General features: G+C 36.4%; 1 protein-coding gene across 14 annotated transcripts in view, besides 1 other annotated feature; it reads right to left on the bottom strand.

The window, feature by feature from the left end:
* Positions 13,803-26,217, bottom strand: part of SYT14 (synaptotagmin 14) — a 233,173-nt gene continuing 220,758 nt past the window's right edge. For 7 of the 14 annotated variants that reach the window (NM_001146261.4, NM_001146262.4, XM_047417067.1 and 4 more), the window contains 2 exons: positions 25,715-25,771; positions 13,877-24,463 (listed from right to left, as the gene is read on the bottom strand). In NM_001146261.4, the coding sequence (NP_001139733.1) occupies positions 24,150-24,463; positions 25,715-25,771 (371 nt within the window). In that variant the 3' untranslated portion in view covers positions 13,877-24,149. Of the gene's footprint in view, positions 24,464-25,714; positions 25,772-26,217 lie in introns of all 14 variants that reach the window. The other 7 variants (NM_001397545.1, NM_001256006.3, NM_001146264.4 and 4 more) reach the window with 2 other exon arrangements.
* Positions 19,579-19,748: an enhancer, noted in NCBI's record as "experimental_2948 CRE fragment used in MPRA reporter constructs". NCBI's record gives its function as "activates a minimal promoter by MPRAs in K562 erythroleukemia cells, with activity observed for both the introgressed and non-introgressed 1:210338874 variant alleles {active_cell/tissue: K562}" and the evidence as "EXISTENCE:reporter gene assay evidence [ECO:0000049][PMID:34662402]".

The following is a 26,217-nucleotide window of genomic DNA, read 5'->3' as shown; positions in this document are numbered from 1 at the left end:
ATTGTGCAATTTTTTCTTTCAATATCTATTTTAAAAGTTGAACCTGTGTTACTGACATGATTTAAAATGTTATACCTGTACAGTAAGCATGTAAAGAGACATCTAAGTAAAACCTGCTAATTTATCACTAATACATAACTCAAATGACCTTTGAGTGGGAAGTTTTTTAGTGACTCACTCTCCTTCTCTTACATTGAAATCAAAAGCCCAATTCAGGCTGAGTACAGTGCTCCAGAATATCTGCAAGCTGCCGGGGCATTTACCTCTCTATGCTCATTTTTCTTCTATAGCCAGTGTGCCATGCACTCTTAGCAAATGAGATTATTCTCTTCCAGTTGATCCCAACCCATGAGATTAAATGATTATGACTGACTTTATATGTATATAATTTTTTTTTGCCCTTCCCCCATAAATGGCGGGGGGTGGGGAGGGGGTGGGTAGTGCTGTGACAAGAATGTATATACTCAGTAATTGATAGTTTATTTATAGTTAGAAGGTTTCAAAAGAAACATCTTTCCATATCTATGGAATATTCCTGATACAATTGGGTGTCTCAAATATAGCAGGGAAGATTATATATTAAATATTTCTCAGGGGGTTTCGTTGTTTGTTTGTTTTTTTGAGACAGGATCTCACTGTGTCACCCAGGCTGGAGTATAGTGGTGTGATCCAGGATCACTGCAGGCTCAACTTCCTGGGCTCCAGTGATCCTCCCATCTCAGCCTCCTGAGTAGCTGGGACTACAGGCATGCACCATCATGCCCGGCTAATTTTTGTATTTTTGGTAGAGATGGGGTTTTCCCATGTTTCCCAGGTTGGTCTTGAACTCCTAAGTTCAAGTGATCTGCCTGCCTCGGCCTCCCAAAGTGCTGGGATTACAGGTATGAGCTACCGCACATGGCCTAGGGGTTTTCTTAGAAGTCTGTGTCAATTCTGGTCTCCTTTGGATACAGGGTTTAGCAAAAGAGATCCTTAGGACCAACTTTTAAAAGACAACTTGAAATAATTAAGCATACAATTAGATTGTCATATGCTCTTGGGTTATATTCACAAAAAATATATAGGAGTTAATTTTCTTCACAGAAATGTGCTAGTGGGAAAATAAGAATCAGGCATGCTAATAATTAATGATACCAACGGTCTCATAATGTTTTATAAGATTGTTGTCAGGTGTTGAAGAGCTTGGGAAATTAGTCTATCTCTTGCGAGCCAAATTTAATTCTCCTTGATAGTGATAATCTAATCGTTGTAGTTTACATTCAGAGTAGACAATGCATTCAACTACATGTATAAATAATCTGTGATAAAGGGCTGATAATTAGAATTGCATATAGATTCAAACAGTACTTGCAATGATGATGGTTTTGTTGAAAATATTTAAAAAACTCTTTTGGAATTGAAAGCTTCCATGCATTCTCAATATCTCAATCATGGCACCTTAAAAATGGGTTTGATCATCAGAAATATAAAAATATCCTTTGGAATCTAGACTTATAAATAAGATACAGATTAAAACTAAGTAATAGCAACAGGACTATGGCAGATTTCATTTCTCTAAGACGGCCACCACCTTATATCACATCTATATTCCCTCTACTTGTGCTTAGGCAGATCTTTGTGACTGTGTCAATCAACCAAGAATGGAGGAAGTGTCACTTTGAGACTTACGAGGCTGGGTCATACAGATGCCACACACTTCTGTCTTATTCTCTTGGGATGCTTGTTCCTGAAATCCAGCCACTGTGCTGCAAGGAAACTAACCAGGAGAGTTCATGCCTCGGTGTCCCAGATGACAACCTTTGTTGACCCCAGACAGGTAAGTGAGCCTTCAGATGACTTCAAAGCCTACCTGTGGAGTCATTTCCAGCCTGTGAATTATTTCAGTTGATGCTGCATTGAGCAGAGATGAAGTGTCTCTGTCAAGCTCTGCCTAACTGCAGATTTGTGAGTAAAATAAATGACTGTTGGTTTGTTAAGCCACTAAGTGTGGGGTGATTTGCCACTCAGAAATAGACAACTGGAACAGATTTTGGTACCTGGAGATGGGATGCTGCCAAAACAAAAACCTAAAACATGTGGCATTGGCTTTGGGACTGGATAGTAGGCAAAGCTGGAAGGGCCTTGAGGAGATAAAGTATTAGCAGGGGCTTAAAGGACCTTGAGGAGGCTGTCAGTGAGGACCGAAGAGAAAGTAAGGAAAATGTTATTGGAAGCTGCAGGGAAAAAGACCTTCATTTTATAGTGGTGGAGAATTGTCCCTAAAGTCACCTGCAGTAATATGGAAAATAGGAAATGTCCCGAATGCAGACAATAATCTAGTTAAGAAGATTTGTAGGTAGAATATTGAAAATGTCACCTGACTTCTCACTGGCAATGCATTAGAAAAGAGATAAGAGAAAGGACAGTTAAATATAAGGAGCCAGGACTTGCTGGGTACGAAAATTACATGTTTTCTCATTTCCCGCCTCTCCAGATGGTAAATGATGCTTGAATTAAGAAATGGCTTACAGCCAATCAATAATGCTGCAGAAATATGTCTACATATAAAGCCAAGGGCATGACTGGAAATCCTTTTGTTAAGAACTCAGAAAGACTTCAAGTGGTGTTAAAAAAATGTTTTTTTTGAGATAGGGTCTCACTCGGTTGCCCAGGCTGGAGTGCAGTGGTACAACCATGGTTCACTGTAGCCTCGGCCTCCCAGGCTCAAGGAAGTAGCTGAGACTATAGGCACATGTCACCAGGACCAGCTAATTAATTTTTTTTTTTTTTTTTTTGGTAGAGATGGGGTCTCACTGTTGCCAAGGCTGGTCTTGAACTCCTGGGCTCAAGCCATCCTCCTGTCTTGGTCTCCCAAAGTACTGGGATTACAGGCATGAGCCACTGTACCTGGCCATAAGGTGGTATTTTATATGCCTTTTCAGATAGACAGAAGTTCTTCTAAGGATCTTAAGGAAATGCCTCACAGATCTTCCCTGCTAAACAATGGTGCATCTAAAGATCTCGAAAGAGTTGTCCCATAGCAGTCTCATAGATATCTCTAGGTAGAGTAGGACTTCTCTTAAAGAGATTTGTGGATATGGCTTTTCTCTAATAGGGTGGATTGGAAATTAATACACACAAAGCTCACAAGGTTTAAAGAAAAGAAAAAGTAGATTGCCTGGACTGAAATGAACAAAGACAGTACAAAAATAAAAGAGTTCATTGGATCCCCAAACTTCTGCAGCAGAGAGTAGTCTGATAAAATGCATTAGTTGCAAACATGAGCTACGTTTTATCAAAAGGAAGAAATCCCAAGGAGTGGACATCTTTTTGAGCAGGAGGGTTTACAGTGGTTATCCTCTGCCTGTTCTCCTGTTGTCTGTTGGGTGTGTGTCACGCATGTAACTTCTCTCTGGTTCACAACTCTTCAGAATGCTACTGAAGGAACTGAATGCAGGAGCTGCTCCCACGGAGTCTCATCCATACTCAGACCTAAATGACATGAGGAGATCCTGGACTGTGTGTTATTACCATAATGGTAAGAGACTTAGGGCTCTTGGAAGAGAGAGTTGAGTGTATTTTGTATGTGGGAGAGATGTGAACTCTTGTGGCCAGAAGGGAGACTATGGCAGACAGCATTATCCAAAGATGGCCACAATGTGTTATCCCGTGTGTTCTTAGAATGTGACATTGACACCTCTCTCACAGAGTCGTGGAGTCTCTGCTCTACTCCTCTGAACCTGGATAGAACTCTGTGACTGTGTTGGCCAACAGAGTATGAAGAAAGTAATGCTTTGTGACTTCTGAAGATAGGTCATAAAAATGCCACCTACAATTGCCTTGCTCTCTTGAGATCTTATTCTTGGGGCCCAGCTTCCAGACTGTGAGGAATCCAAGCAGCCATGTGCATAGGCTCCAGCTAAGGTTCCAGCTGACAGCCAGCATCAACCACCAGGTACATGAGTGAGTCTTTGGATGATTCCTGCCTCTGACCATCAAGTCACCTTCAGCCTTTGTGCCACCCTGGGGATGCCATGCAGAACAGAGAAAAGCTGCCCCTGCTATGCCATACACAAAGTGCTGATTCATGAGCGAGATATATGATTGTCACTTTTCCAAAGCCACTTAGTTTGGGATGCTTTGTGGTGCAGCAATAGAAAACTGGCACAAGGAGAATGGAAAACAAATTGTGATATACACATACAATGAAACTCAGTCATATAAAGGAATGAAGTATTGGTAAATGCAACAACATGGATGAATCTAAAGATCCTATGCTTAGCAAAAGAAGCTGGGAACAAAGAGTACATATGGTATGTTTCCATTTATTTGAAGTTCTAGAATAAGCAAAGTTAATCTAAATGAATACATGGACCCATGATTGCCTTGGGTGCAAATGACTAAAAAATAATGTAAGGAAACATTCTTGGTAGATGAAAATGGTCTATAATAGAGGTGTGGCTCACAAAGGTGCATCTGTTTGTCAATATTGTGCAGGTAACATTTGTGCATTTCAATATAAGGTATATAAAAGTATATTAAAAAATTTACCTTAAAACTTTTTAAAAGTAATAAAAATTAAGTGGGGATGGAGAGTACATGAAGCTATAGATCATACAAGAATGACAAAATGTTAGTTAACTACTCAAGTTCGGTGAGTAGTACATGAAAGTTCATTATTCTATTCTGTTTATGTTGTAGATGTTTTAAATTTCCCATAATAAAAAGTTTAAAAAGAAAAAAGTACTGATTTTTGTCAAAAGTGAGTTTTGACTATAAATCATTGGGATGTTTTTCTTACATGACTGCTAGATGGGCTCTGAAAATAATACCAAAATAATATGTTTCCAAAATGTTTTGAATTAGGCAGTATTGTTTAAATAGATGAATAGCATACCATGTTTTAAGACCACCAAAGTACAACACTCAATGCAACGTATAAATATTTGTTTCTAAAATCAGTTTTATTGTTTGATATGGTTCAAGCTTTTACTTTAAGCAGCGCATAAATTTTTCTTTCTTTCTTTTTTTTTTTTTTTTTTTTTTTGAGACGGAGTCTCACTCTGTCACCCAGGCTGCAGTGCAGTGGCGTGATCTCGGCTCACTGCAAGCCCCGCCTCCCGGGTTCCTGCCATTCTCCTGCCTCAGCCTCCCGAGTAGCTGGGACTACAGGCACCCGCCACCATGCCCGGCTAATTTTTTGTATTTTTAGTAGAGCTGGGGTTTCACTGTGTTAGCCAGGATGGTCTTGATCTCCTGACCTTGTGATCCACCTGCCTTGGCCTCCCAAAGTGCTGGGATTACAGGTGTGAGCCACTGTGCCGGACCAAATTTTTCATTATTTATTTAGTAGTTACTGTCCATCCAACATTCGTGAAACATCAGTGGTAGAAACTAGTTACAAAAACAAAAACAAACAAAAAACAAAGAAAGAAAAAGAACTAGTTCCCAATAATGATTAAATTGCTGTTTCATAATGATTAAACAGCAACTAGAGTAAGCATAACATTCATTATGGTGGCTCTTTACATTCTATTTATTTATTTATTTGAAATCTCTTCTAATTATTTTGTAACAGTCATTGTTAATGAGTGGTAGGAGTGTTGGAGTCTGCTATGCCATCTTCTCATTGGGTTTAGTATGACCTGAAATGATTTTTTAAATGTTCATCTACGTAACATATATTAGTTAAACTATATGCCATCAGCATATAACAAATCCCATTTATCTAGACTCCAACCGATTTGAAATTTGATAAACTCTAAATCCATACCTTTCATTCAGGTTTTTCTTCTGAGCTTTGGACCTGCATATGCAATGACCTATTAGAAATCTTTGGGATATCACCACAGGGAAACCGAATCAGTATCTCTTCCTTCAGAGAAACTCACCCTATTCTTCCTCTCTTAGTAGACAGCAACGTCCTCTATGCCACTGGCCAAGCCAGAAACAGCATCTTCCTAGACATCTCCCTCTCTCTAATCCTCCACAACTAGTCAGTCATCAAGGCCTGTTTAGTCTTCTTGAGTATTTTTTTTTTTTTTCTGAGATAGAATCTTGTTCTGTGGCACAGGCTGGAGTGCAATGGCTCGATCTCAGCTCACTGCAGCCTCTGCCTCCTGGGTTCAAGCAATTCTCCTGCCTTGGCCTCCTGAGTAGCTGGGACTACAGGCGTGAGCCACCACGCCTGGCTAATCTTTGTATTTTTAGTAGAGACAGGGTTTCACTATGTTGGCCAAGCTGGTCTCGAACTCCTGACCTCAAGTGATCTGCCTGCCTTGGCCTTCCCTAAGTGCTGGGATTACAGGCATAAGCCACCGCGCCCAGCCTCCTTGAGTATTTTTTCTTTCTCCTTTTCTACATTCCCTCTGCGACTACCTTAGTTTGAGCCCTCAAACATTTCTCACCTAGATGACTGCAATGGCCTCTTTATAGGCCATCTGCTTCCAGTTTTTCTTTTGCTGCAACCTATCTTCGAAATTGCTGCAAGAATGGTCTTAATAAAATTAAAATCTCATCATGTTACTGTCTGGCTTAAAACTCTTCAGGGGTTCTCTGTTGTCTACTGATAAATGTGAGATTCTTTGCAAGGCAAACAAAGTCCCCTCTGCTCTGTTCTCTGCCTGTGTCTACAGCATTATCTTTCACCCTACTGTCCTCACATACTATGCTCCAGCCATGACTAATGACTTGCAGTACTCATCAAGAAGCACTCGGCCTTGTATCTCCATTCCTGCGTTCATGTGCTATTTCCCTCATCCCAGTTCCCTAGAAAATATGTACAGTACTCCTTTTTCTACACTGTATTCAGGTATTAAATTCTTGTTGAATCCTTTTTGATGCAACCCCTACCCCAAGAAGAACCAACCCCATGACATTTGTGAGCCCTTGGACCATTTGCGAACTTATATCATTGAATATTTACAATTTTTTTGGCCTTGTTTTGTTTTCAGGTCTGTCTTCCTCTACCAGATCACATGCTTCATTTGGGAAAAAACTGTATCTCATTTGTATTTATAGCCCTAAGCCAAATACAGTCTCTAACACATAGTAGGCATTGAAAACTATTTGCTAAGTAAATTCAAGCCCGAGCAACAGTGGTTTTGTTTAATATTTTACTCTTACAGAAGAGGCAAATTTTTAAAAATCACAAAACTGATAGTATAAATGTTTAAAATCCTCTGAAAAGTATGAAGATTTCTACAAAGATTTTACTCACACACAAACACAATTTAATTTGAAATCCAATTACCTGTAAGCTTGAAAAAAATTGACATTCATAATAAAGATTATAGGATACTGTTTCTGACTCATTTAAAAAATATCTTCACTGAAGTTTAACATATTTTTTCTTGCTTTCAAAATCTCTGGATATCTATGTGCATGGATGGTATGCAACATATGGTAACATCCTATAAAGACTGAAACTATCTTGGGTAAACAAAAATCATCTGTATTGTACAGTTTAAGAGCTACTGTAGCAAAATATTACCCAGTGGTTAGAAATAATTATCAAAGTAATACAGGATGAATAAGTTTTGTTTGACAGTTTATAAATAATTAAAATAGAATCTTTATACTTGCTTTGTGACTAAAAAATAAAAAATAAGTAAGATAAGTGGTATAAAATGTAAAGCCATATTGTAAGCCCTTGTTGTGTTTGAACCCTTGATAAATAAGTGAATAGAGGCTCAGATTTCATGGATTAAGGGATGTCAAGCTAGTTAGAAAGGATCTAGAGAATAGGAAATCTGGAAAATAAAATTTATTAAAGGTATTAATATTATTTAGAAAAAAGATGGTTGATTTAATAATGCCCCCCAAGCATATGAAGTGACTGTTTATGCCAAAGATAATGAGTGTCCTTTCATTAATCATGAAAAGATGAAAATAAAATTACATGAACACTTATTAAGTGTTGGATAACTTGCCTCGGTCAACCCATTTAAAACTCATAACTCCATGCTGAGCAGAGTAATATTTCCAGATGGGAAAATAGGTTTGTAAACCAAAAACATCAGAGAAATCCCAGTTAAGGGACAGTCTACAAAATACCTGTCCAGTCCTCCTCAAAACTGTCAAGGTCGTCAAAAACAAGGAGTGTTTGAGAAACTGTCATAGGCACAAGAAGCCTAAGGAGACATATAAATAAACGCAGTGTGAGATCCTAAACAGGATCCTGGAACAGCAATAGGGCATTAGATAGGCAAGGAGAGGTGACTAAGAAAATCTGATTAAACCAGGGATTTCATTTAATTATAATGAAGCAAATTGGATATTAGTTGTAAAAAATGTACCAGTGTAAGATGTTATTAATAGGGGGATCTGGGTGCATGGTGTATGGGAACTCTCTGTAGTATCATCTGAATTTTTCTGTAAATCTACAACTGTTCTAAAATGAAGTTTATTGAAAAAAAAAGCTTGGTGTCAGCTTAGTATTGTTTCCCTATTAACAGTTATAGCAATGTCAGAAATAGAGGTTTTTTAAAAAATCAATTAATGAGCCAGAAATCACAGAGGAAATGGGGTTTCATAAATCAACTTCTTTTTGTTGAACAAGTATTCTTTTCATCTCAGGTATTATTGAATATATTTCTCAAGTGTATTTGTATATTTTTATTGCTTTGGAAAATAATGCACATTAAATATAATCTAACCATTCTTGGCTGATTCTATTCAATTAAAACAAATAGCTGCCTAAAAAGACACCCCCCAAAAAAAACTCTCAAGCCCCCTCAAACTTCCCAATGTCCCAAACTCCATCAGAAATAAAGATTCATTAATACTCATTCATTTTATGCCCTAGATACTGTTCAGGCATGGGGCACACAGTTGTGAAAAGTTTCTGCCATTGGGGAACGTATATTCTAATGAGAGGATGTCAGCTCTTGATTCCTGTGACTTGGTCATTCCAGTGCTTTGCATGACTCCTCACTGAATTGGTCATCAATTCTCAGAACGCTTCCTTTTCAATGTCTCTCTCACTCATCTCATTAAAGAAAAAAAATTCTCTATTCACATGATCTAGGTTACTAGTATTACCTTATATCTAATCACTTATGATTTTAAACATCTGGTTTTAAAAAAATAGCTTCCGGCCAGGCGCGGTGGCTCACACCCATAATCTTAGCACTTTGGGAAGCCGAGGCAGGTGGATCACCTGAGGTCAGGAGTTTGAGACCAGCCTGGCCAACGTGCTGAAACCCCGTCTCTACTAAAAATACAAAAATTAGCCAGGCGTGGTGGCGGGCACCTGTCATCTCAGCTACTTGGGAGGCTCAGGCAGGAGAATCACTTGAACCCACGAGGCAGAGGTTGCATTGAGCTGAGATTGTGCCACTGCACTCCAGCCCGGCGACAGAGTGAGACCCCATCTTAAAAAAAAAAAAAGCTTCCAATGGATCTCTTTCTGATTCTTACCCCTATTAAACTGGCCTTCTTAAAATTACTCTTCTACTCTAAACCTTATGGGGTTAACTATTCAAGTCTCTAGTCTGGATTCAAGGGATTTGACAATCTGGTTTTCATTTGCCCCTCATGACATTTCTGGTGTCCTTGCCTTAACTCTGGTCACTGCTTGGGTTCTTTCTCTCTTCACCCTACAAATGTGTTCCTCCAACATTCTTATTGCTTCAGTTATGTCTGTAGGTTTGATGCTCAGGTTTTAGTTGTTCCTCTGGCTTTCTACCTATCACTTCATTTCATCCCTTGGGTCACAGTTAAACTCATTTCTTGTAGTTTGATGAAGTTGGAGAGTTAGGCATTTTGAATCTCTCCAAAAGCCTTACAATCCATTCCTAAAATAACTCCTTCCAGTACTGCTGGCAGGCAGTGTTCTGGAGACTTATCTTACTCTTTGATTTTTGCCCCCAACAATTAGGTGTTAGACCTTGCCTTTCCAAATATTGTTTGGAACTTCTGTTTTTTTGCTACAGTGCTATCTAGCATTTTCCTCAGTTACTATGAGTTTACTTATCAGTGTATGCTAGTGCTGCAGGGATAAAATAGACCCCAAATGAATAACAGCTCAAATACACAGTGGAAGTTTTTCTTTCTCATGTAACACTCTGAAGATATTACTGGTTGATGGGTGATGACCTCCAAGCAGTGAATCAAGGACCCAGGCTCCTTTCATCTGTGGCTTCACCATCCCTTAGTATATTAGCCATCTTCTGTAACCAGCTAATGCATGGGGAGAGAGACCATGGAGGCACTGGGCCTAGAAATGGTACATACCACTTCCACTCACATTCCAGTTGGCTAGGACTCAGTCCCATAACCACAGATACTTGCAAGAGAGGCTGGGAAATGTAGTCTAGCATGCGTCCAGGAAGAGAACAAAGGTTTAGTTAAATAGCTTACTTTCTCCCTAAAGAAGACCACCTAAAGTCCCATCCAGTTATTGCAGTCTTCTCCAAGTCCTCTATCTCTGGTGATACACTCTCCTTTCCATCAAGTCCAATGACCTGGGAATTTAAAGATATCTGCCCCTCCAACTTCCACTAAATACATAATGCAGAGCAGGAAGAAGATAACTGCCATTAAAAATTCCCATTTGAAAAAGGGACGAATGAGAAACATAGCAGTCATTGATTCACAGCAGTGAAACCCCGGCCCCCAATTCTCTCAGCAGAGGCAGTTTTTAAATGTTTATTTCTGTTTCCTGTTTTTTTTAGAGACAGGGTCTTGCTCTGCCAACCAGGCCAGAGCGCAAGAGTGCAGTGATATGAGCATAGCTCACTGCAGCTTCGAACTCCTGGGTTCAAATGATCCTCCCACCTCAACCTCCTGAGTAGCTGGGACTATAGGCGTGTGCCACCACGCCCGACTTATTTATTTATTGGTAGAGATTGGGTCTCCCTTTGTTGGCCAGGCTAGTCTCTAACTCCTGGCATCCCTCTGCCCCACCCTCCCAAAGTGTTGGGATTATAGGCGTGAGCTGCCACGCCTGGCCTAGGGGCAGTTTTTTGTTTGGCTCCATCTATTTTCTAAGAGGAACTCTGTTATTCATTATTCTCAGTGATCCCCTGCTCTGACTTCTGAGGAGTCCGAAGACTGTTACATGCTATGGTTTCATTTGAAGCAGATATTGAGAACTGTTTCCTTCTTGGAGGCCACACAACTTTCATAGCTTGCTTCATGAGGATGAAAGTTGGCCTGGAGTTCCTCTGAAACAGGAGGGAACACTAAAACAATTCTGATATTTGCCATGAGGTTGAGTCCCTGTGTTTGGTTGAGCAGTCTCAATGGGCTTTTCTTATTCAACACTTTTTTCAATTTTCTATCTTAATACTTGGGAATCCAGAAGCAGCAGACTTTTCCAACCCCAAGGCAGTTAATCTCAGGGCTCTTTTCCATTCCCTTCAATCTCTCCGTGAGAGCCACAGAACTCCTGCCTGAGTTTACTGCTTTCTCATAATACATTTTAGCAAGGAAAATCTCAAATGCACCGCTACTCTGGCTCTTTCCATCCATTTCCCCTGAACTACACTTTCGGTAGTTGCACTGACCACCTTCAATATACAGGCAACTGGTTATCCGTGCTTTGCCACTGCAAAATACGGCTACAGGTTTCCAGGCTGCTATATCTATTTCCTCACCACTGGCTGCCTGCCTGCTAAGTTAATGTAGAATATTTCAGGTTTTCATTCTCACAGAACTCCACTGGAAGGTATCAATAGTTTTTTAGTTTCGGTTGTTTATAGTAACAAATGTACTCCAAAATAAGTAATGGCTCAAAAATAATAGAAGTTTTTTTTTCCTTATTATGCTGTCATTCCAAGGTATACATACCTGGTTGTCTGTTTTCTGTGAGGTGACTCAGTGACCCAGAATCTCTCCAACTTGGGGCTTTGCCATTCCTGAAAGCTTTCAGTTTTCTCTGTGTCCAGCCAGTGGAAAGTGAAAGAATGCACGGAAAAGGCATATTTGATTCCTTTTTTTTTTTTTTTTTTTTTTTGAGACAGGAACGCCCTTTGTTGCCTAGGCTGGAGTGCAATGGCACAATCTCGGCTCATTGCAACCTCCACATCCTGGGTTCAAATGATCCTCCTGCCTCAGCCTCCCACGTAACTGGGGCTACAGGTATATGCCACCATGCCTGGCCATATTTGATTCTTAAAAAGCCTCCTGGGCTGGGCGTGGTGGCTCACACCTGTAATCCCAACACTTTGGGAGGCCAACGCAGGTGGACGGTTTGAGCCCCTGAGGTCAGGACCAGCCTGGGCACCATAGTGAGACCCTGTCTCTACAAAAAATAAAAATATTAGCCGAGTGTGGTGGCATGCACCTGTAGTCCCAGCTACTGGGGAGGTTGAGGTGGGACGATTGCTTGAGTTTGGGACATCAAAGCTGTAGTGAGCTGTGATTGTGCCACTGCACCCCAGCCTGGGCAAAAGAGCAAGACTCTGTCTCAAAAAATAAAACCTCCTAGAAATTGGACATCATCTCTGGTTGTATTCAGTTGGCTAGAACTCAGTCACATGGCCATGCCTAATCTCAAGGCAAGACATTAGAAATAGTAAGCTAGCCATATGAACAAGAAAGAGAAATACATGGGTTCTGGTGAAGAATTGGCAGTTGCTACCACATATTAAAAGTATTCTTTGGAAGGTTTTCCTTTAGATATATTTTCTTTATGCTGAGTAGATGTTTTCATTTTTTCTCTTACTAATCAATATAAGTTTATGAGATCCTCACATAATTTGCCCCATTTATTTGGCACTTAATTTCATAAAAATATGTAGTGTATTTTTATAATTCATTGTAAATTACTAATAAAATATCCCATATATACCTTTACTGAGACCATTTATTTTAAAATTGGGAATGACTTTATTTTCAAATGGGAAATATCATGAAATATTTTGATAATCTATGGAAAGAAAAAGTTGGCTTAAATATTATTTTGCATATTGGAGATCAAAGGAGTTACAATCAATTTGCAATTAAAATATAATGGTTGGTGAGGTTTTGGTTTAAAAAAGAGAAAAACAAACAAAAAACATACCTTAAATATAGTAACCTGTTATAATGAATAACTACTAAATCCATTTATAACAATAGAAAATGATAATTTCATGATTTATTAGCAAGAATGCAGATGTGCCAATTTTTTTGCTGGAATTTCACTTTATATTAATTGTAATTCTCTGAAAGACCCAAATGAAAATAAAGTTTTTCAAAGTATTAAATAATAAATTGTCCCTAAGTAAGACATTTCTTACAATTCAGAAAACAAATTTTGTCAACACTCAAGCAAATCTGTTACTTTTGGCTTTTTTAACCTTAAATGTCTTTTTTTTTTTTTTTTTTTTTGAGACAGAGTCTTGCTTTGTCACCCAGGCTGCAGTGCAGTGGCGCGATCTTGGCTCACTGCAACCTCCGCCTGCCAGGTTCAAGCGATTCTCCTGCCTCAGCCTCCAGAGTAGCTGGGACTACAAGCATGCACCACCACGCCCGATGAATTTTTTGTGTTTATTTAGTAGAGATGGGGCTTCACCATGTTGGCCAGGCTGATCTTGAACTCCTGACCTTGTGATCTGCCCGTCTCAGCCTCCCAAAGTGCTGGGATTACAGGCATGAGCCACTGTGCCCAGCCTAAATGTCTTAATAATAGAAGCTCAAAATGTTTGAGAGCGGGGGAATAATTCAGCAGTGAGTACTGGGAAAGGATACAAATTCCTTAAATTGTAGACTGGAGATTACATTATGAACCCATTTATTCTGAGCAGAAGAAGTGTTTCATGTTTTCATTATATTTCAGTAGAGACAACTTTACAAAAAGGAAAAAAAAAAACCCAGACCAATTGGGCACTGGCATTCCCCTCTTTAAAAATGTTAACTAAAAAAGGCTCTGGATAATTTATGGAACTAAGGATTCAAAGACAATCAGAGATTAGATGATGCAGCAACTTTAATTTCTTTCAGTTTTAGAGCACCAAACGTTTAAATTCTTTTTCATATGCAAAATAGTACTTGTTAAGTCTGTTGTTATAAATCTTTGTTGCTGGAAGTAAAATGGACAAGGTAATGAAATATGAAAAATATCTAAACTCCAGGTCTTAGGGAAACAATACAACTAGCTAATGAAAAAGAATTAAAAATCAACAAACTACTATTGGCAAAGAGAAAATTATTTTGTTAAACAGGATAGCAATACTGATATGAATGACAACAAATTCACATTAAGTGAAAGAACAAACTAGGTAACAGTTCATATTCCAGCTGAAGATACTGAGATCATTTTAAAGCTATTTAGTTTAATTTGTGATTTATATGAACTTTAAAGGAGAATATTTTTAAATGTTTGCATTTGTAAGTCTATTTTCTTTGGAAGCCAGATTTGACTTACAATTAAAGAAAATAATATGACCCAAACCTTTTGAGAGTAATATTTTATAGCACATTTAGATGAGATTCCTTTCAAACCCAAGATCTAAATAACATGTACATATATCCATTTGATATTTCCTTATGTAATTGACATTATTTTATTTTGTGTAACAGTCATATTAACATTTATTTGTCAATGACAAGAATTAGGACTGATGTTTATGTATCATCATCAATGAAGTCAGATGTTTACCCATTCCATGTGAGTACTAAAACGTAAACAGATTTTTTACATAAAGGTGAAGAAAAATAACTTTTAACCCACACAAAATTTATTCTCTGGAAAATTAAACTGCCATTAAAATCTCATCGGAATAATAATTTTAACTTTTTTTACACTGTTTTCACAGAGGTCAGCAATTTCTGTATGTAATACAATTATACAAAAGGAAAAAGGCACCGAGACAATCGGTGTATACATAGTAGAAAAGTCGACATGAGAATAAAATGCAACACACAGCACATTTTCAATTATATGAAAACGATTACATATATGCTCACTCTATAAAACAGACTGCTTCACACACGCATGTTTATATTTTTGACCAAAAATGTAAATAAATGTGACAATAATACAACACTGTTGATAACCACACAGACATGTGTTTATACTAATAAGATCCATTAATGGTTTAGTCACTAGCAAATATGCTGGAGACAATTCAAGACCAAGGAAAAGGTTAATCAGCAGTGTATTTCTTCAGTTGTTTGATAAGAGTTTTGCTCACGGAGCATTTAAACTTTATCACACTGTTATATCCATTATTAGAAAAATAAGTAAGAAAGCTCTGTAGAAACTATATTATTAAGGAAGCTTCTTGCCTGAAAAAATGAAAGAACTAGGAAGGAAGGAGGGAGGGAAGGAAGAAAGGAAAGAAAGAAGGAAGGAAGAAAGAAGAGTAAGGGAATATTGAATAAAAGATTCCACTAATTGAGCTTTTCCATAAAAATTTCATTATTTTGAGAAATAAAATACAATGCAAGAGTATTGATCAGTGAGGAACCTCATGAGTTTTAGAGTAGGTCCCAACATTTATCAAGACCCTTAAAACTCATATAATAACTATTCTTCCTCAAGGCTAATTTAACTGAAAACATATTTATACACTTTCTTATTTCAAAATTCTAGTAAAAATCTAGCCAAAGGCTGGCCATCTCTTCCAAACAGCTTTAAAGATTCCTCAAAATCGTTGCCACTATATTATATTCACCACAAAAAAGCAATTTCAATAAAATTATACAGAAACATAATAAATCAATTAATTTTATAACGCAAGCTACTACTGGAATTTTTCTCTTGATAAACTTAAAGTAATATTTATAACATCAAAATGCTGTTAGAAGTATCACCATTAATTTCTAGCTCTGCTTCAAACAACTGTTTAAATATGCTTCAATATTAAGAGAGTCGATGTATGTGCAACAGCTACTCTGGTCTCCCCTCACACAACAAATGTCACATAATTACAGAATACTATAAATATTCTCAATATTTATCCAAAAAGACTTCCCAAAACCAAAACAAGCACGATTTCTCCCTTTTCCTCCTCCCCACTCCCCACACTACAAAAAAAAAAAAAAAAAAAAAAAAAAAAAACACCAAAAACATAAAAACCAAAAAAGCCCCCAAACTTCTTATGACTGTATGGTATGTACTTCAGTTTTCTGGGTTTTGAAATCACCTGGTTACAGCAACATGTGAAATTTTAAAAACCAGGTTTTTAAAAGAAGGCTTCCTGTAAAATTTAAAATAAAAAGAATGTGCAAGCTAGAGGGAGAAGGGAGGACACCAAAAGGAGAGAATATGACATAATGATCTCAAATCTTCACTTCCAAGAAGCTGGCTTCTACTCCATTAGAATTGCAATGACATTTGGGTACTGAAGCGGCCGTCCTATTTCAGGGTTCTGGGATACTGATCCTTTATGGGCCTTTTCTCCTATTGGTGCTTATGGATTACTTCCATCAACACTAATGGGGGTTAAGGACAGGAATCACTAGGAGGACCAACCCCTGAGGAATAAATGGTTTGATTGTTACTGAAAATTAAACCGTCAGAAGGAGGTTGGCACACTCAGAAACTGACGAGTGAAGTGACGTTACGAGGTTCAAAACCATCCACCTTCAACCAGATGTGAATGGCAAAGAGAAGCAGTAAGTCTCAGAGATAAGGAAAAATTCCTATTTTCTCATTAAACAAAATAGTCATATTTAATATGAACTGCTAGCAATATCTGAATATATAGACAAAGTTTGAAAATTTTTTTCAGTATATAACGGAGTATTATATTTTATCTATTAATTCATTTTAAACACATCGTCAGGTGAGAGATCACATGTTAATGTAATAAACAGAAAGATGTTATGGTTTTTCTTTTTAAAATAGTCTTCAATATTTAAAAGACAAACTCAAATGTCTAACAGTACAAACTGGATTTACTGATAATCAGAATAATAAAGAAGAGGGTGAAGAAGGGTCCTAATAAGACAATTTATAACACAGACTATCAAACTGACATAGAAATAATGTCAAACATCTTGTACAACTATTGCCACCACAGTGACTTTGTTCTTATAATTAATTAGAAATTTTCATGTCATAAACAGTTGAAATTTTACAATAAAATTATGCCAAACCTTTGTTAGACGAATAATCAGTTTCCTTCCTGCTCCCAGCCCACACAACATAATTTTAGGATACTTCACACTATTCAAGGTAAGTACACAACCACCACCACCACCACCACCACCACCGAAACAGCAACAACAAACATGCTATGATTAAAGAGTATTACGCTTTGCTCTTTCTGTAGTCCCCAAGAAAGCCTATTTGGTCCTCCCTATGGTCCAGTACAGGTGATTAAGAGAAAAAAGTCAGGGTATCACTTTTTGATAGGTATTATTCAGCTTTGATGAACTAACTCTGGTATCTAGTTTGAGTGTATATGAATAAGAGTGGGGAAAAAAGGCAGGGAAGAAGAAAGGGAGTATTTTTAAAAAGGCACATACTAGTCTAAACAGGGAGAGAAAAGAGCAATATTTTTACATTCATTTTTTGATAATAAACTAGTAATTCCAGTCTATCAAGCTGATTACCTTAAGATTATATTAACCAGACCTCAAGCTGTCACCAAATCAAACACAGTGATACATCAGCAGTCACAAAACAGCTTAATTCAATGACAACATTATTTCACATATTCAAATAAGCTCATTTTTAAGTGGGATAACCACATATCTTTGTGGGGGAAAAGAAAACTTCAAAATGTAAAATGTGTTAATACAAAATATTACATCAGAGAAGAAAATATGGCTATATGTGAAATGAGGGGAAATGGAAACTCAGATGTACCTTATCCACAGCATTTATTCTGAGAGAAAGAGAAGGTCCTGAGGCTGCTGTATTAACTTGCTATTTGAAACAAAGGATCCTAAGAACAAAACAATCAAGGAACTAGAGTTTAGAGCAGCAGTCACAGAATCACTGCTTTTAGAGAAGAATCCAGTACTGCATTTCATCTGATGAGTGTGATGACAATGAAGCCATTTAGATGATGATAAAGGGAAGCAAGAAATCTTACTGTATGCAAGAATGCAAACATGCCAGCACCTATGGCTGCTACTACACATTTGCTCAAAGGTCAGTCTTATTTCATTTAGGATACTGATAAAGAAATTACTTGATAAATACCTCCCCATTCTTCACTTTATATCCATCATTGTAAAGATAACTTAGAAGGAAATATTTGAACAGTGATAGAAAGGAATTTTTGGAAGCCATAAAATCAACATATTTATTATACCAAGAAACACTTTGAAAAATGTATGTTGAATGTGAATGTACAGAAATTCATTATTAAATATTAATTTTTTTCATTAAATATCTTCCTTTTTAAGGAAGCACAAGAAAAAGATGAATAACATTAATCCTAGTCTTAATCTCTGTATTACTATCACTATCACACTTAAAGGTCTGATCTACAGGCACTGAAACATTTCATGAATACTACTATGTAATACACTTAATATTCTATATCAATAGATCTCAGACAGAATTTCCTGGAGAGCTTAATAAAATGTAGATTATTGGGCTCCCTTCCAGGCCAAATGAAGTAGAATCTCTGGAGGTGGAGTTTTGGAATACAAGTTAAATTTCCCTCCCTTCTTTCCCTTCTCCTTCATTCTTTCCCGTCTCCTCCTTCCTTCCCTTCTCCTCCTCCCTTCCTCTCTCTCTCCCTCCTTTCTTCCTCCCTTTCTACAAGGTCTTCTGTGTCACCCAGGCTGAAGTGCAGTGGCGCTATCTTGGCTCACTGCAGCCTTGACTTGCCAGGCTCCAGCGATTCTCCCACCTAAGCCTCCTGAGTAGCTGGGACCACAGGCATGCACCACCGTGCTCAGCTAATTTTTAAATTTTTGGTAGAGATGGGGTTTTGCTATGTTGCCCAGGCTGGTCTTAAACTCCTGAGCTCAAGTAATCTGCCTACCTCAGCCTCCCAAAGTGTTGGGATTACAGGCGTAAGCCACCACGCCTGGCCCAAGTTAAATTTTCAAAATAATTCTTAAGGATACTACAGTTTAGAAACCATTATTTTACATTTTGTTCTTGGAAAGAACGTGTGTCCTCAAGTTTGATGGGAGTCTAACATGTATTTGTTCTTTAAGACCCAACTCAGGGATTATCTTTTCCAGGAAGATTTTTTTGAATTCCATGTTGCACTCTTCTACTAAATCCCACGGTACTCTATGCATGCCCCTATCTTAATGCTTCATTATACTAGCCTGAAATTATCCCATTCTGTGGCCATCTTCCTACCTTAGAATGTAGGCCCCATGAGGGCAAAGACTTCGACCAATTTATTATCTCTGCATCTGTAGCACTTGGAACAACAACACATGGCACATATCTAGTACTCTTAAATATATATTAACTGAAGGAATAAATAAATCCATACATAACACAAGATTCATAAAAACTAAGACTCATGTAATAGTGTGACTGGCTTCTTCCACAGGGAATTTAGTTCAATTCAATATTTACTGTCTGCCTACTATAAGCAAAGGGGTACAGAAAGATACTAACAAGGCATTGACTACTTACCTAGGGGGAAGAGAGACATATGTAATAAACTAGCTGTAATTCCTGACAAATCTTAATAAAATTGAGAATAAAACATAAATAAATTGCAATGAGAGGACAGAGGAAGACAAATCTTTTGTCTCACCACTGATATGAGTGAGATATGGGCTAGACACAGGTTATGCCCTTCATAGAGTAGTAAGGGGGTCATGTAACAATTAAAACACCTTGGATTCCTAAAAGTGGTCAAGGAGCAGAACTGATTAATATGCTTTTGGAATATAAGTATAGGCTAAACTGGTAGAATAAATCAATTCCAAATCTTTGCAAATCAAAGTCATCTACAAAATGACACAAAAGTACCACCACTTGTGTCCTGAGAAGAAAAAAAATTTCTGATCTTCTTTTCTAGTCTTTTCTCTTTCCCCAGCTGTTTTTTCCCCCTTAGTTCTGCCATTCAATCAAGGTGAGTGGGATTATTGATAAATATAATGTCCTAAGTAGTTTTTTTTTCAAACAGGGAGGCAAATGCAACATGCATAGCATGGGTTTTAGAGTAATTTACACCTGGGTTCCAATCCCAGTTCTACTACTTACTTACCGAATGACCTTGGGAAAGTCTGCTTAACCTCTTCATGCTGCAGTTTCTTTATCAATAAAATGTTGATAACATTACTTACCTCACAGTATTGTTTTGAGAATCAAGCAAGTAATAAATTATTGTGCTAGATCTTAGTAAATTATAGCTGTTAACCATCACTTTGGAGGGCAGAGACAATGTTTTAAAATTAACGTTAGAAAATGCTTTGCAGCATGCTTAAACTTGTATTCAATATTAAATATGGTTGACAATAATAATACTGACAGCTACCTTCAATGTAGGCCACAGAGGAACTGAGGACAGTGAATGGAAACAAAATTAGAAATAAAAACTATCAATGTGAAATAATATAGTGATAACTCAAATAACTATATATATAATAACTGTCTTTGTGAAAAATCTGTGAATTGTCTAGTCTATGTAGGCAAATGGCAATTTTACGCAAATGAATTTGTGTCCTTTCTATTCATAGCTGGAGAGGGATCTTGAAAAATACTTGGTGGTGACCACTGTTCTTACTCCATCAAAAATTTACATCTTCCCATAGCCTATTTTTTCTTTCACTGGAAAGACTATGATATCATTCAGTATCCCCACACATCTTCATATTGACAAACACTCTCAATTCTTTTACCTCTTTCTCCTATTGGTACTATCTTACTTTGCAGTTATTGATTATGCTTCTGATTCACTTGATAAGTGAAATGAAAATGATGATGGTATCAAGCAAATGATTTAACAAACAGCCCTGGGCATTTTCGCTAGGTTGGATGAAACTGCTTTACCAGGTCCTACATTTAAACATGTGTATATTAATCAGGTAGTTATTTTCTCATTGGGTTTTCTTTTTTTTTAATTGTGGTCCAATTTATTATTCTTGTCAGCAAATACAACATTATTGAGAATTCACTAAATGCACAGTAAGATAATATGCAAATGGATTTCAAACAAAAGTGGATTGTACTGAAGACACAAGAATATAGAAGAAAGCTTCTGAAAGATAAGGCAATATTATGCTAAACAAATTCTTTACTGATTTGACATACATTTTGTTTACTGGGCAGCAATAATTATCTTTTGCAGCTCATTTGGGAGAAAAATAAACCCCATAATTCCAGGTTTAGAGGCTCCCATAAATGCCAGTCGATTGCCATATTTGGACTATATCATTTTATTAGAAAACTTAGGGGATTTTAATAGAACTGTATGAAAGTGGGTTGTCTTTTTCAGGTTTCTGAGCCAACACCTGCTCCCTACCAGTAGGTCCCTATTTGCTATAATTACTGAGATAGAAGATTTTGCTATTAAGCTTTCATGCAAATTCAAGCACACAAAGAAGCAGTAGTACTGTCTCGTACATTAGATTCAGTAGAGTGAAGTGGGTCCCCTGAGCCTTATTTAATCCTTTTCTAAAAGAACAGACAACTTTTTGGGAGTAATTATTATAAGTTGTGTCAATCTACAGAAACAAATGTATATTTTGCTGTGTGTGAAGGAGAACAGCAGCAGAAAGCAACCCAAACCAAATATAATATCTAGTAAATACATAGAGGAGAAAAATAATCCTAAATGTATGAAATGTTTTTCTATTCAGTTATCTGAAAAAGCCAGGGCACCTTTGCCTTTACAAATGAATATACATATACATATTTATGTTGTATGTGTAATGGTGCATGTGTGTATACAGATACATACACTCATATAGATAATTTATAATCTTTGAGGACTTGGCAGCTGGGGTGGAGGTAGGGTCTTTCCAGAAATATTAAAAAACTGTTTATTAATTTTTAAGCCATGAAGGATTTGATACTTATGCCAGATAAATCCCTAGGGATGTATCAAATCACACACACAATTCTGGGAATAGTCTGAAAAAAGGTAGATTTAACAAATAACAATTAGTTAGGTCTTTTTCTCACTAAGAGTGAAAGCACCAAGCTGGTCTTACTAATGTGTTTCACTAAGCTCTGTTACAGTTACAGATAAGACTGATAACTCTTTTTATTAGGAAGATAACAGTTGTTAGCAATGCAGTCAGTTGTTTCAAAGTCTAAAAAGTTCATTATAGCTTCAAATGCCTAAGTCCAATTTCTCAGTAAAATCTACATCCCCTCTTCAAGTCTTTTTTCATACTGTTGCTGAAAACACTTAAATGAGATATTTTGCCATTTGATTCAGGTTCTAACTCTTACTTGTTTATTTGAAAAATCCTGGAAAAAGCTCATTGATGTAACAATAAAAGATGGATTTTTCCCTTTAATGCAGCCCTGTAACACACATTCTCAAACCTCATGTCATCCAATATAGCATTTGTATTTTTTCTTATAATTCATGTGTATGAATGCATAGAGCTGCCATTTTTTAAACTAAAAAAATACAGAAGTTCACGGTCTTTTTGGGTTTCTTTTAAGGCCTTTCAGTACAGCCAAGCTGAAGTAATATCTACGCATTGTTTTGTTATTATGGTAATAACAAGTTCTAGTTTACAATAATATATAGTACTTAGTTGGGACTAGAAGCAATGATATACTGCTTTTTAGTAACTGGTAAATAGTATGTTTTTGTCTATTTTAACTAGAAATGAGAAGGAGAAAAAAGAAACTATTTTTAATATATATAAAACATACTCTGATAAAGTATATGCATAAAATGATATATTAGGTAAGAAGCAAAATTAAAAAGAAAACAGCTTATAATATTCCTGATTAGAGTTCCTAAATATAAAAACAAATGAAAGTGCCTTGCCATTAAAAAGTTAGCACATTATACAACTTTTACATACTTCAGAGGAAATAAAGATCTTGCGACACTGTTCTGAGGAATCTTTACATTTATAAAAATCGAAGGCTTAATTTTGCAAATACAACGTTCAAGCTGTATGAGCAAATTTAACTTACATGAAAGGCACAAGATGACATCACGTTGAAGAACTTTATCTGTTAATTTCATAAAGTCTAGTTACAAGTTACTAGAAACTTCATAAGGAATCTCATAACTGTTTTTAACATGATGTTCCAATTCAAACTGAGAACTGGATAGTCTTCATATCACAAATATAAATTGAAGTAAGAGTGAAGATTTAGAGAGAGAACAGTTTCTTATTTTGAATGCTACCTGCTTTACGCAGTGTTGGTTACTAAATACTCAGAGCAGAAAATTAAAATTGAATTGTTTTCCATTTTCGACAGCTTATCTACTGTATTTTCAGTTTGTAAAAAATGTATTTTCACACTACTGCAATTTTGAAGAGTCAATCACTGAAAGAAATTTGAAAGTAAAGTCCTGCTCTATTAGCTTCCTACATTGGAATACAAGAATACAGGAAGTGCTTTCAACAGAAAGTTACGTAGTTCTACAGTACAACCTGTCTAGAAGACTTGCAAGGGACCAGTACAGTGACTTGGTCTCTTTGGATCAGGCGAAAGCGGAGGCAAATGAAAAATGAACTTTTAAAAAAATAACATATTAAAAAAATTCCTGTATGAAAATGAATACTTGTTTGCACTTAGATTTAGTGCTTTTGAGAGGAACTGAGGCACAATGAACCTAAGTGCACAAAGGGAACATGCCTGAAATAAAACAATTTTCAATGTGACTGAAACCCTTCACCATTAGATATGACTTATGATAGAGTTGGAGAACTACTTTTTCATATTAAAGAACATTACAAACACCAGGGACTGGCCAGTCAAACTATGTTTTATAAATAATATGTAGGGTGATATTAAAATTGTATTGCAACTAAAATTCTGGTTTTTAAAATCACTTATAATTTTGATTTTTCATAAAATGACTGGCTCTTTTGCTAAATTAAAATTAACTTCAAATCAAAAACATCTTATTAAATTTCTGGAGGACTGTTAGTTTAGCAATGATAGTGTACGTTTCTCAGTTTCCTAAACAAGCTCTACTAGATACACATATTTTCTTCATTTATGTCAGTATGAGACGTTCTTTCCATAGAACTTAAAGCATTTTGGTAGAAGGTTGAATATGATTCTTCAAAGAACAGCTCTTCTAATGGGACTTGGTAGAAACAGTAATGTTGGAATTGGAAATATGCTGCCTTTGATGGTAACTGCTTGCTTATTCTATTCATCATGACTCTAGCAACGCATGCCATCTACATACTTGCTGTCCTTTTGACTCTTTCATTTCAGTCCAGTGATTGAGTTCTTCTTCTCCAGAGCTGTTGAGACCTAAAGAAATCCAGCCTATCATCTCTTTTCTTTTCATGCTGCGTTTGTTATACACAGACAGTATGAGTGTCACATCAGAAAGCTGAAATAGGGCCACTTGAAAGACAAAAGTTTCCTTATATACTGGATTTGGCTGCCCTCTGCGGATGGATGTCTTGCATTTGGACATCTCTTGACCCATGGAATTCAGTAGAGTTAACTTAACATATGTATCTAAAGAAGAAAAAGACAACGTATCACAAATATCATTTGAAACAAACTCAAAACAATTTTTTATAGGCTAAGAAAATTAAGTATTTATACTTTATAAGGATATGGTGTATACCATGTTTAATGGACATTCGACCAATTCCATTTTGATGTAGATGCTTATAATATGTGACAAATACAGAGAATCCTAAATAGGCCAAAAATATTTTGGTAGTAATAATATCTTAACCTTACTATTTCTATGTAATAGTTAGAATTTAAAGGTATACCTCATAATCCTTCCTTCACCCTCCCACCCCATCCTTGACCTCCCACTACCCTCCCCTGCCCGTTCCCATTCCCATTTAGCTTCACTAAGCAGGACATCATAGCATTAATAAACACTTAGCAAGCTCAATTAGCCACAACACTGTAAAGCATTCCACTGTTTTCAGAGAATAAGAATAAACAAACAAATAGAAATGAAGGCAAATGGTGAAGAGAAAAGAGGAAGACAAGAATGCAAAGATGACATCAAAACAGCTTAGGATGAAATGTCAAAAAAAATCTCTGCATGGATGTGGTTTTTAAATATACTTTAAAAACATTTAAGGGCAAAAATGAAGCCAAATGCATTAAAGGTTCAAAGTTTAGCAAACCAAGTAAAACTTTCTCCTGGTTTCATGCAAGAGTACATTTAATGTGCTTTCAGGATAGTTAAAATACTATAGGATTGTTTTTTGGCACAAATTTAATGTAAAATTTTAAGAATGATATCTGAACTATTTTTATGAATTACAAAAAAATTGATGTGATGTTTAGTGTACGAAGTGAAACATAACAGTTCATTGCCTGATTATTTGGGAGACAAATCCTTTCTTTATAAGACTGTTTTCAAGTTTTTTAGACTCATGCAAATGATCTTCAGCATGTTGATCCATCATGTGTACTTCATATCAAAATTTCAATTAATTTTAAAGAAAATTGCAATATTTATCAGGAAATATCTATTTCTGTTGTATGAATCAAAGTACAAATGAATGAAAAAATAAAAATTTTTATTTTAAAAAGTTTTGCTTATTTCATATATGCTCTGAATACCATCATCCATAATCAGAGATAAATTCTAAGTTAGTTTTATTTAAAGTACCACAGATAATAAATGTGCATTGTTTTGGAAACCAACATGGTGGACAGCTTCACTGCTGGCAAGTTTTAGGGTATTTTGGTTTTGCATGAAAAGACAACATCCAATTAGCCTCTACAGGAACTCACCTCGGATTATATAAACCTGTCCACCTATCAAGTGTTTTAGACAACAGAACAGTCCATCTGACAACAGGGGGTGGAAAGCAGTAAAAGAAATAATGACCAGATGTCAATCGTTGGGTGAAAGAGGGTCAAAGGTTAGAATTAAAGAGGAAACACTGTTCACTGGAGTGGAAGAACACAAAACTTTAGCATTTTAATTCAGATAGAGGATTGAACAAAAAGGATGTTGGGTAAATTTAATGGGATGAGAATTTTTAAGGTTATTGTGTAATCTTAAACAAAAATTACATTTTTTTAAAGGGGGACATCTTTTTAATGATATCTTCTTGGTCTAAAGCACATTGAACATAGAATCATGCATATTATCAGACTATAAAAGACTGAATAATTATAAAGATCATCAGAATTATTATTATGCTTACTATTATTGCTAAATTTAAAATGTATCAATTTAATATTTCAAATACTTTTATTATTCCCAATATATACAAATTAATTATGCAAAA

The sequence above is a fragment of the Homo sapiens genome, chromosome 1 (assembly GCF_000001405.40).
Source record: "Homo sapiens chromosome 1, GRCh38.p14 Primary Assembly".
NCBI lineage: Eukaryota > Metazoa > Chordata > Mammalia > Primates > Hominidae > Homo > Homo sapiens.
This window is presented reverse-complemented; position numbering and strand designations above follow the sequence as displayed.